This window comes from Homo sapiens, chromosome 1 (assembly GCF_000001405.40).
Source record: "Homo sapiens chromosome 1, GRCh38.p14 Primary Assembly".
Taxonomy (NCBI): domain Eukaryota; kingdom Metazoa; phylum Chordata; class Mammalia; order Primates; family Hominidae; genus Homo; species Homo sapiens.
The window spans coordinates 102,101,279-102,111,130 of record NC_000001.11 but is presented as its reverse complement, the minus strand read 5'-3'; the positions used below and the strand labels follow the sequence as shown (position 1 = coordinate 102,111,130).

The window sequence follows — 9,852 nt, the reverse complement described above, 5'->3', positions numbered from 1 at the left end:
AATAGACTAATACAGTAAATTGATACTGGGTACTGGGATGCTGCTGTAAAGATAACCAAAAATGTGGAAGTGACTTTGGAACTGGGTTACAGGCAGAGGCTGAAACAGTTTGGAGGACTCAGAAGATAGCAAAATGTGGGAAAGTTTGGAATGTCCTAGAGACTTGTTGAATGGCTTTGACCAAAATGCTGCTAGTAATATAGACAATGAAATCCAGGCTAAGGTGGTCTCAGATGGAGATAAGGAACATGTTGGGAAATGGAGTAGAGTTTACTCTTCTTATACGAAAAGACTGGTGGCATTTTGCCTCTGCCCTAGAGATGTGTGGAACTTTGACCTTGAGATAAATGATTTACAGTTTCTGATAAAAGAAATTTCTAAGCGGCAAAGTGTTCAAGAGGAAGTACAGCATAAAAGTTTGGAAAATTTGCAGCCTGACAATACAATAGAAAAGAAAAACTGATTTTCTGGGAAAAAAATTCAAGCCCGCTGCATAAATTTGCATAAGTAATGAGGAGCACAATGTTAATCACCAAGACAATGGGGAAAATGTCTCCTGGGCATGTTAGAAATCTTCACAGCACCCCCTCCCACCACAGACCTGGGGGCCTAGGATGAAAAAATGATTTTGTGGGCCTGACCCAGGCCCCCAGTACTGTGTACAGCCTAGGGACTTGAGTCACTGCATCCCAGCTACTTCAGATATGGTGAAAAGGGGATAAGGTACAGCTCCGGTTGTGGCTCCAAAGGATGCAAGCCCCAAACCTTGGCAGCTTCCACATGGTGTTGAGCCTGTGGGTGCACAGAACTCAAGGATTGAGGTTTGGGAACCTCCTCCTAGATTTTAGGGGATATGTGGAAATGCCTATATGTCCAGGCAGAAGTTAGTTGCAGGGTGGGACCCTCATGAAGAACCTCTGCTAGGGCAGTGCAGAAGGGAAATGTGGGGATGGATCCCCACACAGAGTCCCCACTGGGGCACTACCTAGTGGAGCCATGAGAAGAGGGCCATTGTCCTCCAGACCCCAGAATAGTAGGTTCACTGACAGCTTGCACCGTGCATCTGAAAAAGCTGTAGACACACAAAGCCAGTACATGAAAGTAGCTGAGAGGGAAGCTGTACTCCACAAAGCCACAGGGGCAGAGCTGCCCAAGGCCATGAGAGGCCACCTCTTGCATCAGCATTACCTGGATGTGAGACATGGAGTCAAGGGAGATCATTTTGGAACTTTTAAGGTTTAATGACTCTCTTATTGGATTTAGAATTGCATGGGGCCTGTAGCCTGTTTGTTTTGGACAATTTCTCCCAGTTGAAATGAGTGTATTTACCCAATGCCTGTACCCCCATTGTATCTAGAAAGTAACTAACGTGCTTTTGATTTTACAGGCTCATAGGTGGAAAGAACTTGCCTTGTCTCAGATGGGACTTTGGACTGTGGACTTTTGAGTTAATGCTGAAATGAGTTAAGGTTTTGAGAGACTATTGGGAAGGCATGATTAGTTTTGAAATGTGAGGACATGAGATTTGAGAGTGCCCATGAGCAGAATGACATGGTTTAGCTGTGTCCCCACACAAATCTCACCTTGAATTGTAATAATCCCCACGTCTCATGGGAGGGAGCTGGTGGTAGGTAATTGAATCATGGGATGGGTCTTTCCCATGCTGTTTTCATGATAGTAAATAAGTCTCATGAGATCTGATGGTTTACTAAAGGGTAGTTCCCATGAACAAGCTCTCTCACCTGCTTCCATGGAAGATGTGATTTTGCTTTTCATTCACCTTCAGCCATGATTGTGAGGCCTCTTCAACCATGGGGAGCTGTGAGTCACCCCACAAGGATAAACTGTGCTGCACCACCAGAATGTTTATGCCAAGAAGTTTCTTGTAGCATCCCCACTTTGGCAACCACTACTGTGTTATCCTTGAGTAGGACAACAGTAAAGAACAGAAAAATAGAAAGCACAACAAAGGACTCATGTGAGATACTCTTAAAGCACATCCAGAGCTGATTCACAACAACCATGACTAGAGTAAAAAACAAACGAGAACAATCACATAAGATGCCATGCACAAGAAAAAAACAAACAACCCTATCAAAAAGTGGGCAAAGGATATGAACAGACACTTCTCAAAAGAAGACATTTATGCAGCCAATAAACATATGAAAATAAGCTCATCATCACTGGTCATTAGAGAAATGCAAATCAAAACCACGATGAGATATCATCTCACACCAGTTAGAATGGCGATCATTAAAAAGTCAGGAAACAACAGATGCTGGCAAGCATGTGGAGAAATAGGAAAGCTTTTACACTGTTGGTGGGAGTGTAAATTAGTTCAACCATTGTGGAAGACAGTGTGGCAATTCCTCAAGGATCTAGAACCAGAAATACCATTTGACCCAGCAATCCCATTACTGGGCATATACCCAAAGGATTATAAATCATTCTACTATAAAGACACCTGCACACGTATGTTTATTGCAGCACTGTTCACAATAGCAAAGAGTTGGAACCAACCCAAAGTCCCATCAGTGATAGACTGGATAAAAAAATGTGGCACTTATACACCATGGAATAGTATGCAGCCATTAAAAAGGATGAGTTCATGTCCTTTGCAGGGACATGGATGAAGCTGGAAGCCATCATTCTCAGCAAACTAACACAGGAACAGAAAACCAAACACCGCATGTTCTCACTCATAAGTGGGAGTTGATCAATGAGAACACATGGACACAGGAAGGGGAACATCATACACTGGGGCCTGTCAGAGAGTGGGGGGCTAGGGGAGGGATAGCATTAGGAGAAATACCTAATGTAGATGATGGGTTGATGGGTGCAGCAAACCACTATGGCATGTGTATACCTATGTAACAAACCTGCATGTTCTGTACATGTATCCCAGAAGTTAAAATATAATAAAAAATAAATAAAGATGTCATGTACAAGCATTATCTGATACAGGTAACCCCTTGTACTACACTTTTCCAAATGTTTCTTCCCTTAAATCCAACACTGAGTCACTGTAAAGATCATGATTCACAAAAATTAATACATCCTCACAAATTTAATAAAATCAGTTGTCAGAAGTTTCTGACAAAAACATCGACTTAGAAGAGAGTTACAGCTTAGCATTAACCATTAACCAACTTACTCTTTAGTTTACTTTCTTAGTTTCTTACTGCCTGTAAGTCACACAGACAAGGTCCCAAGGTACTAATTTCCCTTAATCGTTTCTATAGATAACATCTTTAATGTTGAGAAACCTCAAGTTTTCCATTTGAAATATTTTTTAGATCTTTCATTCCCGTGAAACTACCAATGCCAGCTAGTTTGAGGGCCCTCACTGAGGCACTAACGCAACTGAAGAATGCAGTTTTCACATCCTAATGATCCCTTCCCCCTCACCCTGACTGATCTATGACCCCCAACTCTTTATCCCCTTGCCTACAACAATCACCTTAAAAACCCTAGGTCAGAACCCCTGAGGAGGATGGATTGTAGGGCTCCTCCCATCTCTTTGTTTGGCTGCTCAGTGACTATTAAACTCTTTTTCTGTTGCAACCCCTGCTATTCAATATATTGGTCTGTTATTGTGCAGTGGGCAGATGAAACTGGTGGTCCTGTAACAAATTATCTGCAAAGTCTTGTGGCAAGAAAGTAAACCACAATCGACACTGCAGCCACTGATCTTTAGGTCATATTTAATATTTATTAGATATAATTTTCAACATCCTTCTAACTTTCACTCACCCTCAGTCATCAGTTTGGCTGCTCTGAGTTGTAACAAGACCCAAATTTCCAAACAGTATCAGCTCTTCTTGGCTTTACCATTGTCAGCCTATGGTTGCTGTAATGTGTATTCAAATTTATCACTAGTCCTAAAAGCCTCAAGAGACTCTGAAGAGAGTATCTTGGATTCCAGCATATTCCTCCTCCATTATTTAACAACAATCCTAGTTCTTCATTTTAATTAGAGTCAATTATCCCTGATAGTATAGTAATTTCTTTCTTTGACTGGTAGTCTACCAGAATGAAAAAAACCAAAGTGAACAGGTGATAGTGTTAATTTTCCATATAACAAAGAGTGATTTCCCCAGTAGAGGCATTTTCCACATCCTCAGGAACCAGGAAGTTCACTCTAGCAGAGTCAAACATGCTAGAGACAAAAGTGGTACTATGGTAAAGAAAGGTAAACCCAAATACAAAGTAGATGTCAAATGTATAATCCCTGTCCCTTCTAGGGTGGGGTTTGGGCCATAATCACAGAAGATGTCATAACCCTGAATGTTGAAATTTTGAAAGATCAAAATTTCTAAAGTCTAAAAATCTGAAAATTACAACCCCAAAATATCAAAATTTGAAAAACATAGTTATGGAAAAAATTATTTTAAAAAATTGTTTTAAAAGACCTTCATTTACATTTTTACAGGGAGATGTAATCACTTCTCAGCCTTTTGGCTAAGATCAAGTATAGTATCTGTTCTTATCAGTAAAAGGGAATACATAAAATACATAAATACACAAGAGAAAAACATAAAATACATAAAAACACAAGAGAAAACTTCATAGGCCACTTCACACAGTAGGATAGACAATAGTAATATACATATTTGTTAACCTAAAATAATCAAAACTTCAGAATCTAGTTTAAAGAGAGTTTATTCAAGCAAAATGGTTAAGTATGGCCTCCTGGGAGCATAGATTCAAGTTGCCCTGAATACACACTCCAATTAGCAGCCCTGATAAGTAGGTTTTTGAGGAAAAAAAGAGAGAATGTTTCTAAGTTGTTTACCAAGAGTTTACATTTATTTACATAAGCTATTGATTGGCTATACAATGTTCTTTGTATTACAAATTCCAGGAACATGAAGATAACGGGTGAGGCAGCAATTCAGGAATAAAAATGTTTCTAAACAATTGCCTCCAGGCATGGATACGGGAATATAATTAAAATCCCATACTCATGTCTCTCTGGACCTGATAAATTTTGCATACCTCAAATACCTCAGACAGCTCCGAGAGATTTTTCTTTTATCCTCTCCCCACTTTTCATCAGGGTTTTTCAAAGAAAGCATTGTAGATGAACTCAAACAATTTTGGCTCCTTTTATGTTCAGGAGCTTAGTCCCACATCACTAGAAAAACTCATTCTCAGATGGTCCTATTCCACATGGGTAATCTGGGGAGAATATGTTTCAGTAAGGAATTGTAAGAGCAACAAAAACCAAATTGCGATAGCATCACAGGGTGGCAAAAAAAATAAGATATAAGTAAAGTCACTGATGAATAACTGCTGTCATTTGTCAAATCATCTTTAGTCTTCAGGATCCCGTGAGTATAGTTTTTTTTTTCTAAAGAAGTAAAACAACAAGAGATACATAGTAGAAATATAATGCACATAAGGATTACAACAAAAACAATTTGCATTCTAAACAAACAAAACACACTCACACACTATTCCACTAAGAATCACCTAAAACCATCACACACACAAAAAAATTAAAACCAAGTCATTCTTCAGAGACTTGTAGCCAAGAAATAATTCAAGATTTAGTCCAAATTGTAGGAAAATTATAAAAACTCAAACGATAGACAAAGTTAGAATCTAATAATTGGTGTACTACATTTTTCTTCTGAAATATAATTTTTCTCTCTCCAGTTTCCCAAAGAAAGATGTTAGTAGGGCAAATTTATTTGCAAAATAACATTTATTATTATGCTTTGCCTGATTATTTGCATAAAGTGCAACAAGAATAGTGAATGGCCACATAGGCCCTTTTATGTTGGCTTTGCTGATTTTTTTTTCTTTTTTAGACGATGTCTTACTCTGTCACCCAGGCTGGAGTGCAGTGCCACAATCTCAGCTCACTTCAACCTGTGCCTCCTGGGTTCAAGCAATTCTGCCACCTCAGCCCCCTGTGTAGTTGGGACTATAGGCATGCCACCACACTCAGCTAATTTTGTGTGTGTGTGTGTGTGTGTGTGTGTGTGTGTGTGTATTTTTTGGTATAGGTGGGGTTTCACGATGTTGGCCAGGCTGGTCTCAAACTCCTGACCACAAGTGATCCACCTGCTTCTGCCTCCCAAACTGCTGGGATTACACTCATAAGCCACCTAACCCAGCCCCTACTTTGCTAAAAATTTTTTACAAGTAATCTTAGATAAGACTTTTAAAGCTGCTTGAGACTAGGAAACAAAACCAAGAATTCGTCATCAGAATATGGCTGTAATAGCTGTACAAATTGGGTAAATTCCTTTTCTCTTGAGGACTTAAAATACCTTGAAATAGTTGGTCCTCTCAAAAAGTGACATTCTTTACTACAACAAGGTCAGGAATGTTGTAAGGGAACTTTGTAGAAAAGGCACCAGGCCAGTCTTTTCAAGGAGTATTTTATTGGCTCTAAAAGTCAAACTCAACTACTTAAAGCAGTCTTGTTATATCTGAAAATATGCCACTTCAGCCAAAGCATTGGTAAAATAACCAGCGTATCTAATTTAGTTCTATTTACAAATGAAAACAGATTTTTTAATGAACTTTTGCAAATAACTATATTCCCATAAATTAAGAATACTTATAAATAGTTTTCAAATTCTGCATAACTCAGGTAGAGAGAAAGGTAAATATTTCAATTTTGCTCACAAAAGTATACTTTACTCAATTACTGTAAGCTATAAGTAACTCAAAACGAAAAACTTGTTTGACTCTGGAAATAATAAGAATCAACAATGTTCCAAACAAAAAAATTATGAAATCACTTTAGTCCTCTATCAGCTCAGTCTCAGGTAATCAATTCTTGTACTGTTTGATGTCGGGTTGGCAATCTTCATGAACACTTCAGTTTTATAATAGAGTTCTGGAAGTCTTAGGCCAATGGTATGATCTCTAAAGTTATCAGAGACCTGTATAAAACAAGGTAAAATGACCCAGAAATAAGCTTTAAATTAGACAAAAATTGTTCACCTTTTTAAAAAGACTTTTTTTAGAAATAATGTTTTCCTATAATATTTTATTTGAAAATACCCAAATAATAACATATCTATGATTGAATTTAATATAGTTTTATATTTTAAATTATGACAAGTTTGTCTACAAGTATTTATCTATCGCGTTACATTTACTGAATTACTTCACTTTACTTGTTTACCTAGATTATTTATGGAAACTGTGATAGTCATCATTGAAAGTTATAAAACTTGCCATTGCAAAATTCAGAGACAGTGAAAAAGACATGACCTAACTAAATCCTTCTTGCTTCTAACCTCCAAGCTGTTCTTGTTCATTCCTGGACTTTGGAAGGAACTTAGTTTATATTTTATCTTTGAAACAAAGACGATAACAGCCTTTCCCAAACAAACCTCCTTATTGCCTATGGACTGTACTACCTAAAGCCACAAGATTAGAAGTTATAGTAATTTTACTAAATAATTCAAGATGTAGCTTTTTTCATTACGTCAATATCAATGTCTTATTTATTAAAAATTACACAAGCAAAGATCACTGTTTGGTGCTGGGTTTACAGTTTTGTAACCCCTATGCCAACTTTTGACACCTTATAGTATTTGGCATAGATAAGTATAAAATTGCTTGATTTATAAATGCAAATAAAAATGTATGCTGGCAATTCTTAAGACATTTCTAATATTATTATACTTTACCAATAATTTTAAAGCTAGCTTATTTATTAAAGATTTTACTTAAGTTACATGAACTTGAAAAAGCATTTGACTAGTCTCTTTTTCTGATAAAATATTTGATTTAAGCACTTTCATTTTCTTAAGCCAATTAATGAGAGCTCTTCTATATATTTTCAGTAATGCAACACTGTGTATACAACACATAAATATGTAGATGTATTAGGTATGCTGATAGAAGTACATCTTATAAATTCACAAAAAACTTTTTTTCCCATCTACAACTTTCAATTTCTGGATAACCTGTTTCAATAGGTAACCTGTATCAATTCTTGATAACCCTAGGCAGTTGTCAACTAAATAGCCTTAATTTTGCTATTAAAAGAAACAACTCAGGTGAAAATCAAATAGCAAAATTTACCTCATAAAGTATGAAGAGAAAAAGTCTAGTGTGCTAGAGCAAAATTAAAAGGGATTTAATTGCCAAATTAAATATAAATTATAGAAATTATAAAGGCCTTTAAAATATCTATATATATACACACACATAAACACACACACAAAGATCTTATAGCTTTTATGTCACAACTTTGGCCATGAGATAAATACAAATTCACCAGCTTGCAAACAAAAAAAAACTTGTTGGATCCAAACAGTGAGTTTTACATTAATAGAAAAATAACAGCAGATTTAAACCACATAGAAAGGAAAATAGAGAAAAAGAGAACTTAGGAACTCTATAGTTTGCATGTGGACCTTAGGGCTTTTTTTATGTAAATGTGCACAAAGACCATATTACTTCAATTTTACATAAACTCTGGCAAGTAGAGGTGCCATAAAACCTACTGAGTGCTAACAAGGGGGTCATTCTCCACTAAGCTAAAGGGAGAAGTCAAGTCATCCCTCTATTCAATGAGATACATTCATATCTGATTGCCTCCTTTGGAAAGGCTAATCTGAAACTCAAAAGATTGCAACCATTTGTCTCACAGGATCTCACTCTCTCACCCAGGCTGGAGTACAATAACACAATCATAGCTCATTGCAGCCTCGAACGCCTAGGCTCAAGCAATCTATCCCCGCTCAGCTTCCTGAGTAGCTGGAACTATAGGCACACAACACCATGCATGGCTAATTTTTAATTCTTTTGGTAGAGATTGAGTTTTGCTTTGTTGTCCTTGCTGGTTGTGAACTTCAGGGCCTCAACCAATCCTTCCACCTGGGCCTCCCAAAATGCTGAGATAACAGTTTTGAGCCACCATGCCCATTCCGTCTCTAAGATTTAAATGAGTACAGGAGACAGGCATTATCTTATGTAAAAGTACATCCAGGTGTGCTTGCGTTCCTCAGTATTCTTTCCTAAATAGATCATGACATTTCAGGGAGAGGAAATCATGTAGCTTTTAGAAAGAAGCTTTCCTGGTTAAATTAGAAAATTCTATAAGGAATTATCCCCTGTACTTGGGGCAGAGATGAATAAGTCAAGGTTAAGGGGACCTTGAGTCTGAGGCTTATTTCTGAGGCCTTTTAATTTTCTAAAGCACTCTGCATGCTTAAGCACCATATTTTGGGAAATAATTTTCTGTACCCCAACAATACCACATAAAAAAAGATGTATATAAACTTTAAAGTATGTTTAATGTTTTATATTATAAAGTTATGTATTATAGTTATTATAGTTTGTTTTAATAGTTTTATTTATAAATGACCTCGACATTCAATAAGTATCCATTATGTAATTTCACTTTAAGGTTTCAAATTACCAAAAAGATTTCTGAAACTATGAAGAGTTTGTTTACATGTATTTGTGCCTGATTTACTTATTTTTAACAACCATATAAACTACTCATTACAATTTTATGAGACATTGAATAAAGCTAGCCATTATCTTTAATTATTTCTGGGCTGTTTTTGCAGCATGTAAATGTTAGAAAGGAGCCACCTAAACAAGAACCCTAAAGTTAAATACATGAGTATTTTGCTACTCTGAGGACACAGCTATCTTCATTAAACTGACAATATCCACTAGTCTTATTTACCAAAGATTTATCTAAGTCACTAGCTCAAAGGCATTTGAGTTACTTTCTACTCTTCTGATAAAGTATTTAAGTGCTTCCTTTTAATGTAAGCCAATTAATTAAAATGCTTTGATATATTCTGGCAATGAAATATCACATATACGTTACATATCTAAACATACAGATGCATAGACAGAAGG

General features: G+C 36.7%; 1 pseudogene, besides 1 other annotated feature; it reads left to right on the top strand.

The window, feature by feature from the left end:
* Positions 3,187–3,902: an enhancer, noted in NCBI's record as "OCT4-NANOG hESC enhancer chr1:102572785-102573500 (GRCh37/hg19 assembly coordinates)". NCBI's record gives its function as "activates a minimal SCP1, AML or CMV promoter by ChIP-STARR-seq in primed H9 embryonic stem cells {active_cell/tissue: H9 hESC(primed)}" and the evidence as "EXISTENCE:reporter gene assay evidence [ECO:0000049][PMID:30033119]".
* On the top strand, positions 4,442–4,540 carry LOC124904645 (uncharacterized; annotated as a pseudogene).
* Positions 4,541–9,852: the final 5,312 nt, after the last annotated feature.